The sequence below is a fragment of the Homo sapiens genome, chromosome 17 (genome assembly GCF_000001405.40).
Source record: "Homo sapiens chromosome 17, GRCh38.p14 Primary Assembly".
Lineage (NCBI taxonomy): Eukaryota > Metazoa > Chordata > Mammalia > Primates > Hominidae > Homo > Homo sapiens.
Window position 1 is genome coordinate 59,529,791 of NC_000017.11, and position 26,321 is coordinate 59,556,111.

Genomic DNA, 26,321 nt, shown 5'->3' on the forward strand with positions numbered 1-26,321 from the left:
ATTTTGATAATTGAGTGCCCCTTACCATGTGGGAACTAACTCTTACCCATTTGATCCATAGATCTTCCCTAGGATTCGATGTGTACATGTTTGGAGAGAAAAGCTGAGGTACTTAGGCTATGATGTAGGCCTGGGCCTACTGGAGCTATCTTCCCCGACCTTTAAAGTCACCCTGAAGAAAGCTTGAAGGCACCAAGTAATCAGGGAATGAAGCCAAGCCAAGTAGAGATGACAAAGAAGAGGCAGAAAGTCATAATGACACATACAACCCTGTCCTTCCCAGTAGGTGAGCCAATAAACCACTTTTTTTTTTTTTTTTGCTTTGCTTAAGCTACTTTGAGTTGAATTTTTGTCCTTATAATGAAGAGTCCCAACTAATATAGCCCTGTATTTCAAGAAATTCACATATCTGGCCAGGCACAGTGGCTCACATCTGTAATCCCAGCACTTTGGGAGGCCTAGGTGGGTGGATCACCTGAGGTCAGTAGTTCGAGACCAGCCTGACCAATATGGTGAAACCCCATCTCTACTTAAAATACAAAAATTAGCCAGGTGTGGTGGGGTGCACCTGTAGTCTGAGCTACTCGGGAGGCTGAGACAGGAGAATTGTTTTAACCTGGGAGTCAGAGGTTGCAGTGATCCAAGATATCATCACTGAACTCCAGCCTGGGCGACAGAGTGAGAGTCCATCAAAGAAAGAAAGAAAGAGGGAGAGAGAAGGGAGGGAGGGAGGGAAATTCACATATCTAACCAAAATCCACATGTTAGAGGTCTGAGGGCTAAGCTCTTCTTTTTTCTTTCCCTTCAAGCTCTATCCCACCCCTCCGAAAGCAGATCTGGGGAGGGTTTCCTTGTAACTTGTGTTGAAGCAATGTGGCTTAAGTCCAAAGCTGAAGTAGGGCTTTCACTAATTCTATTCACATCCAGGCTTTCCAATCTATCTTTAGAAAAAGTTGGCTCTGCCAGGAAGACACTCCTTAAGCCAGTGGTGCATAGGATCAAGATCTGTTTCATAAACCCTGGCACTGCAGAAGAGATAGCATAGCAAGCATATGTGAGAGAACAAACCCCCTTTTCAGTGCATGGCTCCTGGTTCCTGCTTCTAATGGCTTGTCCTGATGTCAGCAATCAGGTAAGTCACTCATCTTTCCCTGAAGGAAGAGCAGGCACGGATAGTGCAGTGTGGACCCCCCAGGGAGTCTATTTCTACAAGTCTCCTTTTTGTCTGTGGATATGGAAATATTAAGGAGAGTCACTCCCTCTGCCTCCCCATTTCTTGGGTTCTGATCCCCTTTTCTCTGGTAATAGCACCTCATCCTAGTTCTTCCCATACTACTCTTAGTACTGTACCTCGAAGGGTTGCTTTGAAGAGAAAACCCATCAGAATGGACCAATCAGAACCCATCTCTGAACTTTCTGCATCAATTTCAACTTTCTGTGTTGGCCTCCTCAGGTAATACCATCTTCAAAGTCACTTTCCTTTCCTAAGGGCCTCTGTAAAGCTGTTTCCCTGTGAAATGTGTTTCCTTATCATCTCACTTGAGTAGCTTTTTTTGTCTCCCTTTAGACCTCAACTTAAATATGACTTCTGCAACTCAAATTTACCCCTTCAGAGAGGTCTTCCCAGTCCGTTCTATTTAAACTAGGACTTCCATTGTGATTCTCCAACTTAACCCTTTGTTTGTTTCACAACTGAAAGGAACAATTACTATGTTCTAAGTATGGACAGACATAAGGAAATGAAACGTATTTGCTGCTAAAAATTGAGATGAATAAGTACATTGAACCATCTTGTAAAACTACATTTTAAAATATTCAATAGGAGAAAAATTGTTCCAAACGTGGACTGGGATGGAATATTTTTTGGAATATAATTCACAAGCTCCTTCTGGGGAGAGAATTGCATTCCTGATAAAATACTTAAGGAATTTTTCTGAACTTTAAATTACGACTTGTTCTGGGAAAACCAATCACCTGGCCATTTAACTAAGTAGAGTGACCTTAAACAAACATTCTTTTGTATCTAATCTAAAAGTGATTAACCTTTCTGTTTTCCTATAAAATATTTCTGCCAAGAGTGAATCTTTGGATTGGTCTGCTAGAGGCCTTTTCCTTGCAGTCAGATTGTAGTAAAACATTGCAATTTGCTTATAACTAAATTATCTGAAAAGTTTTGCTTTTTTATTTTTTAATTTTTATTTATTTTTGAGACAAAGTTTCATTCTTTTTTTAATTTTTTTATATATATTTTTTGAGACGGAGTCTCGCTCTGTCGTCCAGGCTGGAGTGCAATGGCACTGTCTCGCTCACTGCAAGCTCCGCCTCCTGGGTGGTTGATGCCATTCTCCTGCCTCAGCCTCTCAAGTAGCTGGGACTACAGGTGCCCGCCACCACGCCCAGCTAATTTTTGTATTTTTAGTGGAGATGGGGTTTCACCGCGTTAGCCAGGATGGTCTCGGTCTCCTGGCCTCGTGATCCGCCCGCCTCGGCCTCCCAAAGTGCTGGGATTACAGGCGTGAGCCACCGCGCCTGGCCGAGAGACAGAGTTTCATTCTTGTTGCTCAGGCTGGAGTGCAATGGCACGGTTTCAGCTCACTGCAACCTCTGCCTCCTGAGTTCACGCGATTCTCCTGCCTCAGCCTCCTAAGTAGCTGGGACTACAGGCGCCCACCGCCATGCCTGGCTGATTTTTGTATTTTTAGTAGAAACGGGATTTCACCAAGTTGGTCAGGCTCCTGACCTCCGGTGTGCCACCCGCCTCAGCCTCCCAAAGTGCTGCGATTACAGGTGTAAGCCACCACACCCGGCCAGTTTTGCTTTTTAAAAAATAACAACAACAACATACATTATAGTATCTTTAGACACTATATTTATTCATAACTTCTTTTGGGTCTTGTCCTCACACTAGACTATATAGTTTTAAACTGTAAGCTACAATAGGACAGCAAGCAGGTTTGTATTACTTGGTGTTTATCCCTAGGAACAACTTAGCACAGTACCTGGCAAACAGTAGGAGCTGCAGTGATATTTGTTAAGCTGATGAGTAATAAGTGAATGAATGAAATTTAAATGTGTGCACATTTGCAGACTAGATGAATTTAAACACAAATGAGTGTGCATCTCCTCTTTGTCTGTGACAAATAAACATGAAAGAATGGAGTCCTTCCTTTCCCCTCTCTGATCTGTAATGTGAACGTACCTGAGCCTCCTCGGCACTCTGTGATTCCCTAGGAAGGCCCCTCTCAAATGTCATCTCATCCAAACAATGCAAATCCCACTACAAAAATACTGGAGAGTAATGTTTTTACTGAAGGTTTCAAGGGAAACAGAAGAGGAAGTTATGAAATACACTACTACCAGCACCTTTTAAATTTTTACCTGAGGCTGGGTGCGATGGCTAATGCCTGTAACACCAGCTCTTTGGGAGGCCGAGGCAGGCGGATCACCTGAGGTCGGGAGTTGGAGACCAGCCTGACCAATATGGAGAAACCCCGTCTCTACTAAAAATACAAAAAATTAGCTGTGCGTGGTGGCACATGCCTGTAATCCCAGCTACTCGGGAGACTGAGGCAGGAGAATCGCTTGAACCTTGGAGGTGGAGATTGCAGTGAGCCGAGGTTGCGCCACTGCACTCCAGCCTGGGCAACAAGAGTGAAACTCCATCTCAAAACAAACACACAAACAAACAATTCTTACCTGAAGCATTTCTCTCTCCCTAGAGAGAGAGAGCCACACACCTCTCTTTTTTTTTTTTTTTTTCTTTTTTTTTTTTGAGATGGAATCTCACTCTGTCACCCAGCCTGGAGTGCAGTGGCACAATCTCAGCTCACTGCAACCCCTGCCTCCTGGGCTCAAATGATCCTCCTACCTCAGCCTCCTGAGTAGCTGGGAGCACAGATGCGTACCACTATGCCCAGCTAAATTTGTATTTGTTGTACAGATGGGGTTTCATCATGTTGCCCAGGCTGGTCTCGAACTCCTGAACTTAAGTGATCTGCCCACCTTAACCTCCTAAAGTGCTGGGATTACAGGTGTGAGCCACCACGCCCGGCCTCTCTCTTCTTTCTGTCAAATCTGTTCAGCCTCCCCCCCGGTCTTTGACCCTCGTACTTCCTCTCTTCCTCTTCCTCTTTTTCCCTGTTATCTTCCCCTGTAGGTCTCTTCCCTTTTCTGAAGTGAAACAAGTGACCCCCTTTTGGGTTCTTCAGTTTGCATCTCTACCTCCCCAGTAACTACTCTAAAGAAAAGCTTTTCTTCAGGATACACAATTAATAGAATATGGGAGACAGGAAGGGATGACAAATAATCATTTTTCTTTTTCTTTTTCATATTCCTTCTGTCTGAGATTACACAAAGTGGGGCAGAGGATTAATTGAGTGCGTAAAACAGTAGTGCATTTAGCACAAAACAATAGAAAATATACCAAAAAGGCTGGGTGTGGTGGCTCACCCCTGAAATCCCAGCACTTTGGGAGGCCAAGGTGGGTGAAGCACTTGAGCCCAGGAGTTCGAGACCAGCCTGGGCAACATGGCAAAACCCCGTCTCTCCAAAAAAATAAATTAAAGAAAAAAATAGCCAGGCATGGTGGTGTGTGCTTGTAGTCCCAGCTACTTGGGAGGCTGAGGTGGGAGGATCACCTGGGCTCAGTTAGTCGAAGCTACAGTGAACCTTGGTTGTGCCACTGCACTCCAGCCAGGGTGACAGAGCAAGACCCTGTCTCAAAAAACAAAACAAAATGATATATATAGTTTTGTTTTATATGTATAACTTATAAATGTATATATTTATAAGCATGTGTGTGTGTACATATATATATATATATATACACCAAAATATGAAGCCTGTACTCATATACCAAAATATGAAGCCTGTACTCAGATACCAAAATACAAAGCCTGTACTCATATACCAAAATACGAAGCCTGTACTCAAGAGGTCTGCAGGGACAGTCCTGTGTAATTAGACAGATTGTCCTTTAGGGGCACTAAAAGTATTAAATGATTTGCCTTGGCTTTCATTTGTGCCAAACTTGCTAGTTATGTAATTGACAACTCAACTTGTTAAGGCTTCTCTGTGTAACTTCTAAAAGAATGCATTTGTCTACCTAAAGAAAGAAACTGAGGCAAAATTAATATAGTTTATTTGGGCCAAGGTTGAGGACTGCAGCCTGGAAACACTTCCTAGTTATGTTGGGAAGTGCTCCAGAGAATAAAGGAGAGGCTTACGTTTTTATTTTTTTAATTTTAATTTAATTTAATTTATTTATTTATTTATTTTTTGAGACGGAGTTGCGTTGTTGTTGCCCAGGCTGGAGTGCAATGGCGCGATCTCTGGCTCACCGCAACCTCCACCTCCTGGGTTCAAGTAATTCTCCTGCCTCAGCCTCCCGAGCAGCTGGGATTACAGGCCTGTGCCACCACACCCGGCTAATTTTGTATTTTTAGTAGAGACGGGGTTTCTCCATGTTGGTCAAGGTGGTCTCGAACTCCCAACCTCAGTTGATCCGCCCGCCTCAGTCTCCCAAAGTGCTGGGATTACAGGAGTAAGCCACTGAGCCTGGCTGAGGCTTACGTTTTTAAAGAAAAAATAATGAATCAGGAGAGGGGGTGATTACAGAAGTCGTTTGTGAGGAATTTTCTTTTATTTTTATTTTTATTTTTTATTTTTTGGAGACAGAGTCTTGCTCTGTTTCCCAGACTGGAGTGCAGTGGCGCAATCTCGGCTCACTGCTACCTTGTGAGGAATTTTCATTGGTTTACAGAAATAATATTGATTAACGATTGGCAATATACATTGCTGAACTATAGAGTATGAGTTATGGTGTCCAGAGTATGGCATTGTTAGGTTTATTTATAGCTACTTGGGGTCAGTAAATCTAGAGCCCACATAGCAAGTAGCTTCATGAAGTGATTACCTAGCTCAAGGGGGAGTGAAGCGTGACTCTTGTTACATTTCAATGCTCTGGGCCTGATAATTTAAAGCGGGGCTTGCATTTCTCAGATAAAAAGTTTCTTTCTTTCTCACGTTGCAGATACCATCTGTATGACTTTTTTTTTTTTTTTTTTTTTTTTTTGAGGCGGCGTCTTGCTGTTGTCGCCCAGCCTGGAGTGCAGCGGCACGATCTCGGCTCACTGCAACCTCTGCCCCCTGGGTTCAAGCAATTCTCCTGCCTCAGACTCCCTAGTATCTGGGATTACAGGCACCCGCCACCACGCCAAGCTAATTTTTGTATTTTTAATAGAGACAGGATTTCGCCATGTTGGCCAGGCTGGTCTCGAACTCCTGACCTCAAGTCATCTGCCTGCCTCGGCCTCCCAAAGTGCTGAGATTACAGGCGTGAGCCACTGTGCTCAGCCCATCTGTATGATTTTTTAAGTCACTTAATGCTCTCTCATTTAAGGGGTCTTTTATCGCCTTCCAGATGCAACCTTTCTTCATTAAAAAAAATAGCCTGGGCAACATAGTGAAACTCCATCTCTACAAAAACATACAAAAATTAGCCCGGCATGGTGGCGGCCGCCTGTAGTTCCAGCTACTCAGGAGGCTGAGGTGGGAGAATCGCTTGAGCCCAGGAGGCAGAGGTTACAGTGAGCCAAGATCACTCCACTGCACTCCAGCATAGGTGAAAGAGTGAGACCCCATTTCAAAAACAAATAAATCAAAATTAAAATAAAAAATATATTGCTAAATTCTTCATTGGACAAGGATGCAATAGACTTCTTGCAGGCCTTCTTTTTGCCAGTGTGGGCTGCCAATTATATGAATATAGGTCTAAGGATGCTAGAGAAGGAATTTTCAGCATTATACCATTCAAGCAAATGTTCAATGTCCAACCAAATAGCTAATTCTATATGGGACAAAAATAGATGGAAATGTGTTATTTGTAGTTCAGCTTGTGCTTGCTTTTTTTTTAAACTTAGCAAAGAACTGATTTCATTTTTATATCCTGCTCTATTCTCTACAGTGACTTAAAAACACAATATAGAAACTTTAAAAATAGAATTTGTTATTCCCAGTGGCCCAAAAGGGATATTTAAAAGAGCCTAAAAGCAAAATATAATGTAATTCATTGTAGTGCTGCTTTTAGTGTAACTTGGGGCTTTTAAAAAAAAGATGCATACTGGTTTTTTTTCTGATTATAAAATATGTCTATTGTGAAAAATTGTTTAAACTCATGAAATAAAAATCATCAGTAATCCCCAAACCAAAGATAATCCCTACTGACATTTTGGGATATTTCCTTTCATCTTTTTTTCTAGGGACAGGGCCAGTTACAAGAGCGTACAACCTGTGCGGTCACGCAGGGCCCCTATTCAGAAGGGTCCCACACTTGATTTGAGGTTCTGTTGTTGCTTTCTTAAAATTCTTAATAATTTTGAACTGCATTTTCATTTGCACTGGGCCCTGCAAATTACACAGCCAGTTCTGTCTACAGATGATGCACATACTAATTATATATATAATAACATATATGTAAGATATATATTATATATAATATGTACATTATATGTATAATCTGTGTCATTAAAATTCTTTGTAAATGTTATTTTTTTCTTTTTTTTGTTCAGTCTCCATAGAGACTGTCAAAAATTGCGAATGCCAACTATATTTCAAGTCATTATGGCGGGGTATTGGGAAAAGTTTTCAATTAGCAGTAATAGCACCTCGGATAAACCTCATTGGCTACGATACTGCCACTGCACAAAGCTGTAAATGTTATTTTTAACACATACTATTTCATCATATGGAAACATAATCATTTATTTAACTATGTCCCTATTTTGTTTTAAATTTTAAATTTTTTAAATTTTGTTTTAAATTGTGTACTGTTATAAATAATGATAAGAAACATCTTTTTACGTTAATTAAAAATAGATTTCTGACTATTTCCTTAAAATAACATCCCAGACATAAAACTGAAGGGATAAAAGGATATGAACATTGTTGGACCTTTGTATTTAAATTGCCAGATAGCATTCCAGAAATATTAATATTATCAGCAGAAAGTAAGAAATTCTCTTTTCTTACTCTTGGTGGCAAAGAATATTATAATTTTAAAATATTTGGTAAATGAGTAAGTCAAAATATTATCCAATTACTTTAATTTCCATTTATTTGACTACCAGTAAAGAAGGTTTTAAAATATACATTTTATTAGTCATTTTTATTTCTTCTTGAAATTGTCCTTAGACTCTAAACTCCTCAACATGATTTTTAAGGCACTTGGTGTCCTACCACTCCGGGTTTATCTTCTACCACTCCTCTCCTTCCCATTCCCCACCCTATTCTAAGCTCTAGCCATACTTAATTTTATTTAATATCTACAATTTGTCATGCTTTCTCTTGCTTCTGGCACTGTAAACATTCTACATACTATTTCTGGATGTCTTTTTCAATATCTCTTGTCTGGTTAATTTCTATTTGTCCTTCAGGTCTCAGCTTAAACATCACTTCCCCAGAAAGCCTCCCCCACCCCCAGATTAGGCTGAGTGCCCTGCTAGGAGCTCCCAAATCATCCTGTATTTTTCTTCTTCTTCTTCTTCCTCTTCTTCTTCTTCTTCTTCTTCTTCTTCTTTCTTCTTTCTTCTTTCTTCTTCCTTCTTCCTTCTTCCTCTTCCTCTTCTTCTTCCTTCTTCCTTCTTCTTCTTCTTCCTCTTCTTCTTCCCCTTCTTCCCCTTTTTCTTCCCCTTCTCCTCCTTCTCCTCCTTCTCCTCCTCCTCCTTCTTCTTCTTCCCTTTCTTCTTCCTTCCTTTCTTTTTCTTTTTCCTCCTCTTCCTTCTTCTTTCTCCTTATTCTTGTTCTTCTTCTGTCTTCTTCCCCTTCTCCTTCTTCTAGTACATATTTAATTTTGAAATGATTTTAGATTTAAAGAAGAGCTACAAAGATGGTACACAGAGTTCCCATGTACCCTTCATCCAGCTTCCCCAGTGTTAACATGTTACATAACCATGGTACCATGATCAAAACTAAGTTATGAACACAGTTATGATACTATTAACTACAGACTTTATTCAGATTTCACTAATTTTTTTCATTAATGTCCCTTTTCTGTTCTAGGATCTAATCCTGGATAGCATATTGCATTTAGTTATCCTGTCTCCTTAGTCTCCTGTACTTCATATCTTATAGTGCTTAATGTATTTTATTACAATTTCCTCCCATTCTAGAATATAAGCTCTGTGAGAGTAAGGGCTGTTTTTTAAATTTTTCATTTATTTTTATTTTTAACCATTGCAACCTCAGTTCTTACAGTCGTACAGTGTCCATAGTAAGCAGGTGGTTTATATGACTGAATAGAAAGCAGAATTTTTCCTTAAAGAGTTTCTCAGAAAAGAGGGCAACACCTTCCATTTAAGTTCTTACGAAATATCCTATATTATGTTACATTCTCTCAATTTTTTTATTTAGAGCAATAAAGTACTGTTCAAGGAACTCACATTAGCCTGAAAGGACCTCATAGAATGCATGGATGCTTGTAGAGAGCATCTATTGGAATCAGTAAAAAACGGAGACAAAGACATTTAAAAACCTTTAATAATCTGTGTTTTGGGGGCTGTGACCTCACAGAGGAAAGGGCTGGATGCCCTTGTAAACAGGTTTGTTTGTTTGGTTGGTTGGTTGGTTGGGTTTTTTTGAGACGGAGTTTCACTCTTGTTGCCCAGGCTGGCGTTCAATGGTGCGATCTCGGCTCACTACAACCTCCACCTCCCAGGTTCAAGCGATTCTCCTGCTTCAGCCTCCCAAGTAGCTGGGATTACAGGCATGTGCCGCCATGCCCAGTTAATTTTGTATTTTTAGTAGAGACGGTTTTCACTATGTTGATCAGGCTGGTCTTGAACTCTTGACCTCAGGTGATCCCCCCATCTCGGCCTCCCAAAGTGCTGGGATTACCAGCGTGAGCCTCCATGCCCAGCCGTAAACAAGTTTTAAAAGTAGATGGGGAGCCAGGCATGGTGGCTCATGCCTGTAATCCCAGCATTTTGGGAGGCCAAGGCTGGCGGATCACTTGAGGCCGAGAGTTTGAGACCAGCCTGGTGAACATGGCGAATCCTCATCTCTACTAAAAATACAAAAATTAGCTGGGCGTGGCATGTGCCTGTAGTCCCAGCTACTCAGGAGGCTGAGGCACGAGAACCACTTGAACACGGGAAGCGGAGGTTGCAGTAAGCCAAGATCGTGCCACTGCACTCCAGCCTGGAGCCTCAAAAACAAACAAAACAACAACAAACACAAAGTAAATGGGGGAATGGTGGGAAAGAGATGGAGGCCGAAGAACAATGCTGATTACAAAGTTCACTTCAAAAGCAATTCTGCTAAGTAAGTGGCTTACTTCCCTGGTCAAAGCAACTGTTATCTCTTGCCTGAAACTACTGCAACAGCCTTCTAAATGGTGTCTCTGAACCCCTCCTATCCATCTACAATCTTCTGTCCATGAACATCCAGAGTGATCTTTTCTTTTTCTTTTTTTTTTTTTTTTTTTGAGGCAGAGTCTCGCTCTGTCGCCCAGGCTGGAGTGCAGTGGCGCGATCTCGGCTCACTGGAAGCTCCGCCTCCTGGGTTCACACCATTCTCCTGTCTCAGCCTCCCGAGTAGCTGGGACTACAGGCGCCTGCCACCACGCCCACCTAATTTTTTGTATTTTTAGTAGAGACGGGGTTTCACTGTTTTAGCCAGGATGGTCTCGATCTCCTGACCTCGTGATCCGCCCACCTTGGCCTCCCAAAGTGCTGGGATTACAGGCGTGAGCCACCGCGCCCAGCCAGAGTGATCATTTCAAAATTCAAATCTCCTACTTAAAAACCTGTAATAGATTTGCAACTGATCTTTGAATAAAAATCAAAATTACTAATGACTTTAAAAAAAACCTTGAATCCTTAGTCTCTCTCTCTATCTTTTTTTTTTTTTTTTTTTTGAGACAGGGTCTTGCTCTGTTGCCCAGGTTGGAGTTCAGTGGTGTAATCATGGCCCACTGCTGCCTTGATCTCCTGGGCTCCAGCAATCCTCACACCTCAGCCTCCTGAGTAGCTGGGACTACGGGCATGCACCCCATGCCTGGATAATTTTTTAAAATTTTTTTGTAGAGAAGTCTCATTATGTTGCTCAGGCTGGTCTCAAACTCCTGAAGTCAAGCGATTCCCCTGACCCGGCTTCCCAAAGTGCTACGATTATAGGCATGAGCCACAGCACCGTCTCAAGCTTTCCTTAATGGCCTTTGTTAGAATTATAGTTATAACTATAAACTCTGTAAGGGCAAGATACACGTTAATTTTTGCTCACCTTTGTCTTTCCAACAGCTAGCAAAGTACCTGGCACAGGTAATTTGTAAGCACTTATGATTATTTGAATACATGAACAAATGAGATCCTTCATTGGGAAATGAATTATCTACCCAGTGGTCTAAGAGAGTAAGCTTTAATATTTGTACTTTTTGGCTTCTGGAACTCCATACTTTACTCTGAGCCCTGGCATCATGAGAATTGATCATCCAGTTTGGTTAAGACCATTCAGCTCTACCATTCTGGAATCAAATACCTGTTCAGCTTACATGATGCCTTATTTGAAGATATTCATTTCTAGGTGTCCACATCAAACAGGTCATCAATGACTGACATCTGCTGTCTGATTCTCTGAAAAGTCCTTCATCTCCACCTAAGAGAGCAACCTGATATTTACCATATGAGAATTCTTCCCCTCAGCTCTCTTGGTCACCAACGATATGGGTCGTTTGTAGGTTCTCCAAGTTCTTCTCATGGTTAAGGGCATTTCAGGTGCCCTGCTTGGAAATGATAGCTCAGTTTCTAGTATTTGTAGAGAAGGAACATAAAACTTGGTGCAGCACATACTTCAAGAAATCTTGGAGAATTAAGTGTTGCTTCTCAGTATCTCACTCCAGTACAGAACTCCAGTTCTGTAGCTTTACACCTCATGTTGTAAGCATGAAGAGTAACTTAGAGTTATCAGGCGGCTTCATCAGTTATATAGAAAAAAATGTATATTTTCCTTCTGTATAACTGATAGAATCCAGCTCTCTGTAGTATGTACTTTCTATAATCTGTTTGTGGAGTAAAGCTGAGTTAATAGCAATTGTATCTCACACAGATACATTGCTCTGTGTCATGTGTCTTGCCTATTACTTCCTTGGAGAAAGTTATGAAAAGTTGTGTCCTGTACAGAGACGCCACGATGCTCTACATCTTCCATGCTACTTCCTTACTCCCTGGTCACAGGCCTAACTCAGAGTTCTAATCCTACTGAACACTTCATTGTCTAAATGCCCCATTTACATCTTCTTCCTCTCTCCCTGAAGGCTTTCGTAGATTGTGTATTCAAAAGATCACTGAATCAAAAAGAAAATCACCATTCTTTATTTTTTTTCCTGGCACTTATAATCATCCAACATAATACACATATTTTGTTTACATTGTTTATTGTGATTCCCTTCACTAAAATGTATGCTTCAGGGATCCAGGAATGTCTGTCTGTTTTATTCGCAGTAGTAGTATTAGCAGTTAGTATAGAATCTAAAATATAGTAGGTGCTCATTAAATATTTGTTGAATGAATTAATGATGCCAAATTGATATAAGAAAGGATATTCAAGCATAACTTTACCATGCACAGGGTTTTTCATCATTTCAAATTGCTGAACAAAATTCTCAAAGTTAAAAAACAAAAACAAACATTACTACTTTGGAAGAGAATGTAGGCATTTAGAACAAACAAGATGTAGAATTAGGGAATTTATACTAAAAATACCACCGAAGAGTGAGCACTTGGAGACAATCTACATGTATCCATATGTCACACATGTGCCTGGGCTTTGGTTGCTAGAAATAATTTCCCTGAATAATTTCTGGGGAGGGGATGTGTTTATAAATGCCCTCCTTGGCAGAGCACGGTGGCTCACGCCTGTAATCCCAGCTCTTTGGGAGGCGGAGGTGGGTGGATCACAAGGTTAGGACCATCCTGGCCAACATGGCGAAACCCCATCTCTACTAAAAATACAAAAATTAGCCAGGCATGGCGGCACTGTGCCTGTAGTCCCAGCTACCCGGGAGGCTGAGGCAGAATTGTTTAAACCCGGGAGGCAGAAATTGCAGTCACTGCAACCCAGCCTGGGCGACAGAGTGAGACTCCGTCTGAAAACAAACAAACAAAAAATGCAACAAACAAAAAATGCCCTCCTTGATCTGCTTGGCTCTGTCTTCCTCTCAGGATCTCGGTCACTTGGCTTTCTTCCTTGCCAGAGGGGTATTAGGAGATGGTAGCTGAGTCCAGGGTTTTATAACCAAGGGAATAGGGAGAGGCAACCTCTTGGTGGTGAGGACTGGGCTGCAGCAGCAGTTTCCGGAACCTACTTTCTCATGACTGAACGTATGCAGGCTCTGGCTTCCCCAGTGGCTTCTTGGAGAAGTCAGGTAACGACTCATGGGAGATGAATTATTTATTCTTCTTCTGTGTCCTCCAACAGATTATTGAGACCCATACAGCCATTCCAGAGATGTTCTCATTTGATCAGGCAACCAGTTGTGTTTCTTTGAGAAGCTGTAGCCCCGATTCCTCCTTCTCTAGGATGGTACTCATCTTCCTCCCTCTCCCCACATACAATAAAAATGAGCTCTATGAGCGTTTTTTTAGGTTCTGTTTTCCGGGTAACCCAAGCTAGAGCCTAGAGAAGAGGGAAGTATTCTGAAACAACTCACTTTCAAAAGATTACATGAAACCACAGGCATGTCTTAGGGTTCAAATCTTCTTTCATGTGCCTTGATTCAAAACTGTATATTTCTACTTCAATATAGTTAAGATATTAATCTGTAGCAAAAGTCAAATAACCGTAAAATGAAAAACTGGTAGAACTTCAAGTGAAGACTGGAATAGTTGGAGATGAGTTGTTGTAGTCAGAAAGACCCTTTTGTCAAATTCATTCATTCATTCAACAGAATGCCAAGTATTAATCTAAGTGCTAGAGACACAACAGTGAACAAGACATATGGATCCTTCTGAAAGGAGCTTAAAAACAATGTGGGGAGACAAATGATAAATACAAAAATACTCAATATTGGTCGGGCACGGTGGCTCACGCCTGTAATCCCAGCACTTTGGGAGGCCAAAGCGGGCAGATCACTTGAGGTCAGAAGTTCGAGACCAGCTTGGTCAACATGTCGAAACCCCATCTCTACTAAAAATACAAAAATTAGCCAGGCGTGGTGGCACGCACCTGTAATCCCAGCTGCTCGGGAGGCTGAGGCAGGAGAATTGCTGGAACCCGGGAGGCAGAGATTGCAGTGAGCTGAGATCGTGCTACCGCACTCCAGCCTGGGTGACAAAAAGAGATTCCGTCTCGAAAAAAAAAAACAATATAATATCAAATAGTAATCAATGATTAGAAGAAAAATAAAGAAGAGAGCATAGAGAGTGATGAGACACTCTTTTAGGTAGCATCATCAGGAAAGGCTTCTCTGGGAAGGAAACTTAAGCAGAGATCAGAATGAGGGAGGTATCAGTGTAGAAGTCTATGAAATAGCATCTACTTTAGCCACATATACTCATAGGTTGTTTGTCAGATTCGCTTTGAATTGAGAATAAATAAATAGAGAAGAGAAGGAGAAAAGTTTTTGCCTTTCTTCTTCTTTTTTTTTTTGTCACAAAAACATCTAAGCCTGAATGTCTCCTAAATTATTCTTTGTGGCTGGTTAGTCAATTTAGCCAAAGTTGAAGGTACTTCCTCCTTCTTGAATGCAAAATTACTTCTTTTTTTCTTTTTGTTTTTTTAATAGAGACGAGGTCTATGTTGCCCAGACTGGTCTTGAACTCCTGGCCTCAAGAGATCTGTCTGCCTCTGCTAACATGGTGAAACCCCGTTTCTACTAAAAATACAAAAAAAAAAAAAAAAAAAAAATTGGCCAGGAGTGGTGGTGGACACCTGTAGTCCCAGCTACTCAGGAGGCTGAGGCAGGAGAATGGCATGAACCCAGGAGCAGAGTTTGCAGTGAGCTGAGATTGCACCACTGCACTCCAGCCTGGGCAACAGAGTGAGACTCCGTCTAAAAAAAAAAAAAACATCTGCCTACCTCTGCTTCCCAAAGGGCTGGGATTACAGATGTGAGCCACTGCACCCTGCCCAAAATTACTTCTAGTCTTATTCTAGCCCTACACTCTGTCTGGTATTATTGCTATTTATTTGCACATCTCATATCCATTTAATATGGCATATGATTTTTCTTTTAAGAGGCAGAGGCTATGTTGCTCTGTTGCTATGTTGCCCAGGCTGGTCTCGAACTCCTGGGCTCAAGGGATCCTCCTGCCTTAGCCTGCCAAGTAGCTGGGACTACAGGCATGTGCCATGGTGCCTGACTAATGTGGTATATGTTTTGAAAGCAAAGTCTATATATTTTTAGCATTATAGTTCTTGAAATATCTAGTACAGTCCTGTCACAAAGTAAATACTTATTTGTTGAATTTAAATTTAGACAGAGTTTCACTCTTGTTGCCCAGGCTAGAGTGCAATGGCATGATTTCAGCTCACCACAACCTGCACCTCCAGGGTTCAAGCAATTCTCTTGCCTCAGCCTCCCGAATAGCTGGGATTACAGGCATGCAACACCATGCCCAGCTAATTTTGTATTTTTAGTAGAGATGGAGTTTTTCCATGTTGGTCAGGTTGGTCTTGAACTCCCGACCTCAGATGATCCGCCCTCCTCGGCCTCCCAAAATGCTGAGATTACAGACGTGAGCCACCATGCCCAGCTGATTTTTTAAAAAATAAAATATCTGGACTCAGACAAGTTTACCTAACCTCTCAGAGCCTAAGTGTAAAATTGTTATTCCTGTAAAAATCAGAAATAATAATCATTTGACAGCATTTATTGGTACAAGAAAAGAGAACCGGGTGTGGTGGCTCATGCCTATAATCCCAGCATTTTGGGAGGCCGAGGTGGGCAGATCACTTGAACAAAGAGTTTGAGACCAGCCTGGGCAACATGGTGAAACCCAGTCTCTACAAAAAATACAAAAGTTAGCTGGGCCTGGTGGTATGTGTCTGTAGTCCCAGCTACTCAGGAGGCTGAGGCAGGAGGATGCTTGAGCCTGGAAGGTTGAGGATGCAGTGAGCTGAGATCCAGCCTGCACTCCAGCCTGGGTGACAGAGTGAGACCCTGTCTCAAAAAATAAATAATAAAATAAATAAATAAATAATCTAGTACAGGACCAGATACATGGTAATATTTAATAAATTGTTGGTCATTCAATCAAGAAATTAAGCATTTTTAAAGGCTTGATCTGAAACCAGGTTATTTGTTCATGTAAAGAATGTGGTAGTTATTTGTTAATAGCATTTGTTGTTAGTTATTTCCCATAAGGAAATGATGATGTCATCACAAGATCTTTTCCTTAATCAGCTTTATTAAGGTATAAATTAATTATAATTACATATAATTAAATATAACTTACATGTAATTAAATTCACCAATTTTCAGTGTATAATTTTTGACAAATGCACACCGTAATCAGCATCACAATCAATATGTAGAATATTTCTCTCACTGTAAAAAGTTCCCTTGTACCTCTTTGAAAGCAATTTTCCCCTTCTACCCTCAGCCCCTGGCAACCACTGATTTGTTTTCTGCAAAAGATACTTTTTACTTTATAAGCAAATATTTATGAGGGCCTTCCATTTTTGTTTGTTTTTTTTGAGACGGAGTCTCACTCTGTCGCCCAGGCTGGAGTGCAGTGGCGCGATCTCTGCTCTCTGCAAGCTCCGCCTCCCGGGTTCACGCCATTGTCCAGCCTCAGCCTCCTGAGCAGCTGGGACTACAGGCGCCCGCCACCACGCCTGGCTAATTTTTTGTATTTTTTAGTAGAGATAGGGTTTCACCGTGCTAGCCAGGATGGTCTCGATCTCCTGACCTCGTGATTCGCCCCCATCGGCCTCCCAAAGTGCTGGCTCACGCCTTTACATGCCCGGTATGAGGGCCTTCTACTTAGAAGTCCTTGAGCTAGATAGATACTTCATAGAATACAAAGATAAGTAAGACTCAGTTTATGTCCTTAAATAGCTAAAAATCTAGTCTAGTCGTATGTAATTTTGAGATTACTCTGTCTACACATAATATGGGACTGAATTTCAATATGAATTATGCCCACTAAAGAAGAATAAGGAAGAAAAAATATTGTAAATGGTTCCTGAACTTTTAGAATAGTAAACAAAAGATTCATGAGTGCCACTAATTAATTATAATTTATTTTAAAAGGCACAAATTTATGATTACAGGATTTCCAGATAATTTTTAAAAAGTAAACTCTTTAAAATTAAGTAACATACATACAGGAAACAAAAGTGCAGAAATCCTAAGTGCACAGCTTGATCTTTTCAGATTATTTATGGCAACCTAGACCAGCACTGTGTGACCAATGCAGTAAAAAGACAACATCCTGAAGTCTTATGGTTTAGACAGAATAATTACATCACTGTAAGAAAGAAAGAGATAAGAGAATAATGTTCTGCAAAGGCTCACAAAGAATTGTGGGGATAAGTAGTGAGAAAATGGATGGCACATTAAAATTCATGAGGAAATGCCGTTTAACTTCTATGAATAACAAAGCGATTATTATGCAGGATCAGGTTTTTCTTTCATCATTACAGAAAGACACAAAATCATTATCGTGATCTGCCATATGTTTTTCCTTTGTTATCAGATGCTGGGACAGGCCTATTAAATGTTCTGTGTTACCCAGGGGAATGGTCAGGGCGGTGAGTAATGATGGTCACGATGCATATGGTTTTCTATAGTCCTAATTGTCAGTGCATTTAGATCCGAGGAAAGGAACAAATTAAAAAGGGCAGAATGGCTGGGTGAGCACTTTCTTGTGATTGCAAAGAACTGGGTCTATTCTTACCCTTTCTGCCCCTTGCTTTATGCTTTACACCTGCCATTTCCAGACTGACAAGGCGCTTTGGTGGCGCCTTGGTCAATGCAATGGGGACTACAATTAATTTAAAAAGGGGTAATGCATGCAAATCGCAGAAAAATATTAACACCAGGAGAAAAAACACAGTGTGGAAAAATAATCCTACAAAAATGTTTATAGTGGGGTCAAACATTTACCCACATTATAATTCCAATACATGCAAAGAAAATACTCCTTTTTAATTTCTATCATGGACCTAATTTTTCCTTGCAAGCTTCCACCTTGCTCTATAATAAGAGGAAAAAAACCAACCAAACGTTAAACTTGTCATTCCAGGCAACAATCTTTTTTTAGTTTAAATAGTTTATTTTGGCCCTGCATGGTGGCTTACTTCTCTATTTAATCCCAGTGCTTTGGGAGACCAAGGAAGGAAAATGGCTTGAGGCCAGGAGTTCAAGACCAGCCTGGGAAACATAGCGAGACCCCGTTTCTAGAAAAAATTTAAAAATTAGCTGGGTGTGGCAGTGCATACCTGTAGTCCCAGCTATTCAGGAGGCCAAAGCAGGAGGATTTCTTGAGTCCAGGAGTTTGAGGCTGTAGTGAGCTATGATTGTGCCACTGCACTCCAGCCTGAGTGACTGAGACCCTGTCTCAAAAAATATAAATAAATAAATAAATAAATAGTCACTTTTGAATAACAAATTTTCTTTTGGTTAAATCCAGAATCTTTCACATTTCTTCCTGCTTCCCTCTGCTTCTGTTCAAAATAATGTCTAGCTGTACAGAGGGATTTGTGACCTAGGGTGGCAAGGAGAGGAAGGGCCTCAGATCTATGTGGGGGTCTCAGGATCAAATTTGTCTCTATACCAGAGTGCATGTTTAGGGGAGCCAGAGATCAACCCCCTTTTGCTCTTAGTGGCCTCTTCAGCTAGATCTAGAAACCAAATTGACACCAGGCAGATTAACAAGGGAAAAGCAAACAAATTGTATTAGTTCTACATGTACATGGGGGTATTCACAAGAGCATGAAGTCTGAATAAGTAGCCAAAGCAAGATGCTTTTGTATTTTTAGACAAAAAATGTTACATTTGAAAAGAAATGACAGAACAAAGAGTATCTGGCCAGGGGCAGTAAATTTTCTAGGGGAGTCACTCGGACATGTATGGAGGATGTAAAACAGGTGGAAGAAAAGGGTTACTTCGTCAAGTACATTTATTCGATCCATTGCAGCCTCCAATTCTTTTTTTTTTTTTTTTTTTGAAATGGAGTCTCACTCTGCACCCCAGGCTGGAGTGCAGTGGTGCGATCTCACTCACTGTAACATCCTCCTCCAAGGTTCAAGTGATTCTCCTGCCTTAGCCTTCCAAGTAGCTGGGACTACAGGCGCCCACCACCACGCCCGGTTAATTTTTGTATTTTAGAGACGGGGTTTCATCATGTTGGCCAGGCTGGTCTTGAACTCCTGACCTCAGGCAATCTGCCCGCCTGTACCTCCCAAAGTGCTGGGATTACAGTCGTGAGCCACCCCGCCTGGCCTGCAGCCTCCAATTCTAAGTCTCTGGTGATAAGGGTTTGCTCGCTCTGGTATGCAGAGGGTGCCCCTCCCAGAGGCATCTGTATCTCTTGCTGCATGAAATTACAATTTCTCAACTGTTTTCAATTTCAAATAATTACTATACCAATCCGGAATATTTTGGGATGGCACATTCTTCACTCCTTCACATATCTCTGACTAAGTTATTTACATAGTAGAAATAAGTTCTCTATTATATCAGAAAAGTTGCAAAAGTAATTTATTTCTATTGTTTTTTATTTAATGTTTTTTATCTACCATGTATTTACTTTTTTTATACTTTCCTACCTTCTATTGAGTTACTGATTTATTTTTCACCCTTACTGACTTGAAAGTTATGTTAAAAAAATTAACCTTTACTTATTATCGATTAAAAAGGAGTTTCTCTGATAAAAAAGTGGGGTTTCAGGTTTATAACGTAAAGCTTTATGTGATATAGAAAAATGTATCAGTAAACAAAGCATGTTGTTTTCTTACAGGCTTACACAATTTTGAAATCAATCTTTTCCTCATTGTAATTACATAGAAGCTTAAAATTTTTTTAAGTTTGTTTTATCCATTTTTCCTTGTATACTTTACCTTTGGTGGCAAGTTCACAGTTACCAAGTATATTTTCTTCACAGTGGTAAAATTAACAAGAACTTACTTTTGCTTTTTTTATTTATAAGAACAATATCACTTCCTTTTACTGAATCAATGTTTACTCTTAAATTTGTAACATGCATGGCTCAACTTGGTCTAAGATACTGTCAGCCTCTTTTGAACAGTATACAATCTGAGAAACTTTATTCCTCCCATTCTTCCTGTTATTATAGTAATTTGGTTTCACCTTTTCAAAAACCCTCTCAACTTAGAGTATTAATTTATTTATTTTTATTTTTGTTTTATTTTTTATTTATTTATTTTTGAGACGGAGTCTCGCTCTTGTTGCTCAGGCTGGAGTGCAGTGGTGTGATCTCAGCTCACTGCAACCTCTACCTCCCGGGCTCAAGCAATTCTCCTGCCTCAGCCTCCCGAGTAGCTGGGATTACAGGTGCACGCCACCATGCCCGGCTAATTTTTGTATTTTTGGTAGGACAGGGTTTCACCTTGTTGGCCAGGCTGGTCTCGGACTCCTGACCTCAAGTGATCTGCCCGCCTCAGCCTCCCAAAGTATAGGGATTACAGATGTGAACCACCGTGCCTGGCCTGAGTATTTATTATTATTGCTTTTATTTTGTTTTATTTTGACACAGGGTCTCTCTCTGTCACCCACACTGGACTGCAGTAGCATAATCACAGCTCACTGCAGCCTTGACTTCCTGGGCTTGAGCAGTCCTCTCACCTCAGCCTCCTGAGTAGCTGGGACCACAGGTATGTACCACCACATGGCACTAATTAAAAAAAAAATTTTTTTTTGTAGAGCTGGATCTTGCTATGTTGCCCAGACTGGTCTCTTAACTCCTGGCCTCAAGCAATCCTCCTGCCTTGGGCTCCCAAAGTGTTGAGATTACAGGCATGAGCCATTGTGCCTGGTCTATTATTGCTTTTTAACAGTTAATATTAATATAGATTTACCAGTATTTTTACTAACTTCTCTGTTCACCATTAGTACTTACAGCGGGTCCTTTCTCCTGGGTTTAATTTCTTTTCTTTCTCTCTCTCTCTCTCTCCCTCTCTCTCTCTCCTCTCTCTCTCTCTCTCTCTCTCTCTCTTTCTTTCTTTCGCAGGCAGAGTGGGCCTGGTGCAGCAGGGCTGACCACCAGTTTACTTTCTTTCATTTTAAGTGTATATTTGTGTTTTTTTTTTTTTTGAGACAGAGTCTCGCTCTGCCGCCCAGGCTGGAGTACAGTGGCGCGATCTCGGCTCACTGCAAGCTCCGCCTCCCGGGTTCACGCCATTCTCCTGCCTCAGCCTCCCGAGTAGCTGAGACTACAGGCGCCCACCACTAAGCCTGGCTAATTTTTTTGTATTTTTAGTAGAGACGGGGTTTCACCGTGTTAGCCAGGATGGTTTCGATCTCCTGACCTCGTGATCCGCCCGCCTCGGCCTCCCAAAGTGCTGGGAATATTTGAGTGTATTTTTTAAAGCAATGACTTGTTACTATATATTATTTTAGTATTTGTCAGAAAATATCTTGAATTCTCTCTTGAATGTTAGTTTGAGTACAGACTTCTTGATTATTTTCGCTTAACAATGTGGAGATGCCCATCATTGTATTGTCTTTTCCATTTTTGTTGAGAAATCTGCTGATAATGTGTTATTGTTCCTTCGTAGGAAATTTTTTGTTTGTTTGTTTTTTGCTTTTTGAGACGGAGTCTCACTCTGTCGCCCAGCCTGGGCCACAGAGCGAGACTCCGTCTAAAAAAAAAAAAAAAAAAAATTAGCCGGGCTTGGTGGCGGGCACCTGTAGTCAGTCCCAGCTACTCAGGAGGCTGAGGCAGGAGAATAGCCTGAACCAGGGAGGCAGAGCTTGCCGTGAGCCGAGATCACGCCACTGTACTCCAGCCTGGGCGACAGAGCGAGACTCCGTCTCAAAAAAAAAAAAAAAAAGAATTTCTCTCTTTCCAGCGTGGTCCATGTTTCATTTTGGTCAGGTGTATATGGTTTTTAATTTTTCCTGTCTGGGGCTCAGTGATTATCTACTCAAATATTACTTCTTTCCTATTCAAATAGACATTTTCCATTACTCTGGAACTCCTTTTAGACATCTATTGAGGCTTCCCATCCCATCCTCCATTTCCTCACAGGATACTGTACCCACAGAATAGCTTTGCATTTTCTCGGGAATTTGCATTCCCTCTTCATTTCTGGCATCTGAAGATTCTTATATTTTATCAAGCATATCTATATTTTTGTTGCATCAGATGAGACTGGATCATCCAGATTTAACTCACCAGACTGCTTGTAGTCCCATGCAGCAAAAAAGGTAAAATTTCTGTCTAATTTACAATTAAATGAAGAGGTATAGCTAACTTAATATGTAAAGTAAAAATTATGCATCTGTGCAAAGTCTTAGAATTATGAATTAAAATGTCAGCATTTTGGTAATCCCTAGTGTCTAGACTGTTTCCTTTTTGTGTGTGTGCTTACTTTATAATGAGATTGTAAACCCAGTGGCATTGGGTAAACCTTAGAGGTATCTTGTAAGAATTCTGTTTAATTTTGCTTTATTGAACTTTATGTACTAGAAGGGAAGCACCAAAAATGAAATTTTAGATAAAAGCCTACTATTGAAGCAATTGTCTATATTTAATACATAGAAATAAAGTTAGTGAAACATCAATATGAAGCCCATAAACAGTTGGCGGAAAAAGCAATGGCCTAGAGATTTGGGAAGCTGTACCCTAGACTTTGCTCTGCCTCTATGCTGTATGACCTTGGGCAAGTCATTGAAGATCTTAAAGTCTTGGTTTCTTCATCTCTACAAAGTGGGGATGGCAGTCTCTATAGTTTAAAATTGCATTATTCTAGATAGTGCAGAGATAGACAGTGTCATTTGAAAATGTCTTAAAATCCTGATACTTCTAATGGAATAAAATGAAAGGGATAAAAACCAAGACATGGCCAGGTGCAGTGGCTCACGCCTGTAATCCCAGCACTTTGGGAGGCCAAGGCAGGTGGATCACCTGAGGTCAGGAGTTCAAGACCAGCCTGGCCAACATGGTCAAACCCCATCTCTGTTAAAAATACAAAAATTAGCTGGAGATGGTGGCGGGTGCCTGTAATCCCAGCTACTTGGGAGGCTGAGGCAGAAAGAATTGCTTAACACCCAGGAGGCAGAGGTTGCAGTGAGCTGAGATGGTATCACTGCACTCCAGCCTGGGTGATAGAGTGAGGCTCTGCCTTGAAAAAAAAAAAAGAACCAACATCATACAAATTGTTCCTTTTAAATAGGGTGTAATGTTTGGAAAATAAAGTAAAAAAAAAAATCAACCAAAAAAAGTTGAAGAAACTCTCAGACAAGACCTATTTCAGATTTTAATTGTAAATTTTAAGAGTATAAGTCCCTTCTGGCCCGGCACGGTGGCTCATGCCTGTAATCCCAGCACTTTGGGAGGCCGAAGTGGGTGGATCATGAGGTCAGGAGATCAAGACCATCCTGGCTAATATGGTGAAACCCCATCTCTACTAAAAAAATACAAAAAAATTAGCCGGGCGTGGTGGCAGGCGCCTGTAGTCCCAGCTACTTGGGAGGCTGAGGCAGGAGAATGGTGTGAACCTGGGAGGTGGAGCTTGCAGTGAGCAGAGATCATGCCACTGCACTCCAGCCTGGGCGACAGAGTGAGACTCCATCTCAAAAAAAAAAAAAAGAGTGTAAGTCCCTTCCTTGGCTAAAATTTTCACTTATGGAAAAAAATGGTGCTAGAACAATTGTGTGTGTGTGTGTGTGTGTGTGTATATAGGTGTGTGTATGTATGTGTGTGTGTATACCTTGACCCATACCTTGTGCCATGTAAAAACATCAACTCAACTAAACATGCATTGCAAATCTCAATGTAAGATTCTATAACTATAAAAATACTTGAAGAAAACATTGGCCAGGTGCAGCGACTAATGCCTGTAATCTCATCACTTCGAGGCTGAGGTGGGAAGATCCATTGAGCCCAGGAGTTTGAGACCAGCCTAGGCAATGTGAAAAAAATAAACAGTCTCTACAAAAAAAAGTACAAAAATTAGCCAAGCAAGAGGGGAGGGATAGCATTAGGAGATATACCTAATGTAAATGATGAGTTAATGGGTGCAGCACACCAACATGGCACATGTATACATATGTAACAAACTTGCACGTTGTGCACATGTACCCTAGAACTTAAAGTATAATAAAATAATAATAATTTTAAAAAAATTAGCCAAGCATGGTGGCACATGCCTGTAGTCCAATTTCTCAGGAGGCTGAAGTGGGAGGTTCACTGAGCCCAGAAGTTCGAGGCTTCATTGTGTGATCGTGCCACTGCATTCCAGCCTGGAAGACAGAGAGAGATCTTGTCTCAAAAAAAGAAAAATTAAAAATAAATAAAGGAATAAATAAGAAAATATATGAAAACATCTTTGTGACATTGGATTAGGCAAAGATTTCTAAGATACCACACCAAAAGCACAATTTATAAAAGGAAAAAAATTGGTAAATTGAACTTTATCAAAATTAAGAACTTTTTGAAAGACACAATTAAGAAAATTAAAAGACAAGACATAGACTAGGCCAAAGTATTTGCAAAGCATATATCTGACAAAGGACTAGTATTCAAAATGCATAAAGAACTCTCAAAACTCAGTAAGATAATAAGCAACCCTTCCCACACACATACAAGTGGGCAAACGTTTTGAACACACACTTTATGAAAAAGTTGTATGGACTACAAATCAATACCTTTTGTAAAAATATGTTTGATATTGTCATAGAGGTATGCAAATTAAAACTGTAATAAGATACTGTTATCAGTGGAAGGTAGTCCAAGCTACCGGTGGCAAATCCGTATGGGTCTACGGCAACCTCAGTTCTTGCCTCCTCAGAACAAATAATTCGACTGAGGGGCATAAGGCAGAAAAAAAGATCGAGGCAAGTTTCAGAGTAGGAGTGGAAGTTTATTAAAAAGCTTTAGAGCAGGAAAGAAAGGAAAGTACACTTGGAAGAGACCCAAATGGGCACCAAGAAGGTCAAGTGCGACATTTAACCTTGATCTTAGAACTTTATTTTATTTTATTTTATTTTATTTTTGAGATAGAGTTTTGCTGTGTCACTAGGCTGGAGTGCAGTGGCAGGATATTGGCTCACTGCAACCTCCGCCTTCCATGTTCAAGCGATTCTCCTGCCTCAGCCTCCCAAGTAGATGGGACTACAGGTGTGAGCCACCACGCCCAGCTAATTTTTGTATTTTTAGTAGAGACGGTGTTTCACTATGTTGTCCAGGACGGTCTCGATCTCTTGACCTCGTGATCTGCCCGCCTCAGCCTCCCAAAGTGCTGGGATTACACGCATTAGCCACCGTCCCAGGCCAATCCTAGAACTTTATAGACTGGCCCACTTCTGGTGTCTAGTACCCCTTTCCCATGATATTTCCCTTAGGGTGGGCTGCCCGCAGGCGCAATACCCTCTATATGCTTGGGAGGTGAGCACGCACAGTGTGTTTAGGAAGCTGTAGGCGTGCCCATCCGAAGCTTTCTTTCCTTTTCCAGTGGAGTGCCCAGGAAGGTCATACTCCGTCATTTTGTTTCCCAATGTGCATGCCTGTGAAGTTGCCTCTCCCTGGTGTCTGCATTCAACTAATCTTTTAGAGCGACAGGTGTAAACCATCAGGAAATGGCCTCTCCCTGGCAATTTATCAGCCTCTCATCAACAATATTGATGATGAATGATTTAATGACTGGTAACTGGCTCTGTGATAATTACTCAAATCTTAATATCTGGACACTCAAAAAGAATGAGAAGAAATTGTGATGATGATATGATATCTTTTACTTTTGGACTGAAAGTTAGGAATTTCTCTAAGTTTTATGATATGGCCATGCCATCTAATTATGCCAATGTGTCACTGCTGCCAATTTGTCACTTTTAGAAAGGCAATATGATAATTGCCGAACCATTTCCTGACATTCCTGGTGGGTGGGGAGAGCTCTCTCCTGCTCTGCTCATGCCTGTCTAACTACCTGTAACAATACCATTATCTCCTATTAGAATGGCTCAAACAAACGAACAAACACTGACAATATCAAGTCCTAGCAAGGATGCAGAGCAACTGGAATTTTCATACATGGCTGATCGAAGTGCAAAATGGTCCAGCTACTTTGGAAAAACAGTTTGGCAGTTTCTTAGAAACATATATTTATCTTTGACCCAGCAATTCCACTCCTACGTATTTACC

At 41.0% G+C, this 26,321-nt stretch overlaps 1 long non-coding RNA gene and 1 pseudogene across 1 annotated transcript; one reads left to right on the plus strand and one right to left on the minus strand.

The window, feature by feature from the left end:
• Positions 1-20,744, plus strand: LOC105371847 (uncharacterized). Its single transcript, XR_934889.2, has 3 exons — positions 1-286; positions 948-1,132; positions 20,715-20,744. It is a non-coding gene; the product is annotated as an uncharacterized LOC105371847 (long non-coding RNA).
• On the minus strand, positions 7,566-7,709 carry RNU4-13P (RNA, U4 small nuclear 13, pseudogene; annotated as a pseudogene).
• Positions 20,745-26,321: the final 5,577 nt, after the last annotated feature.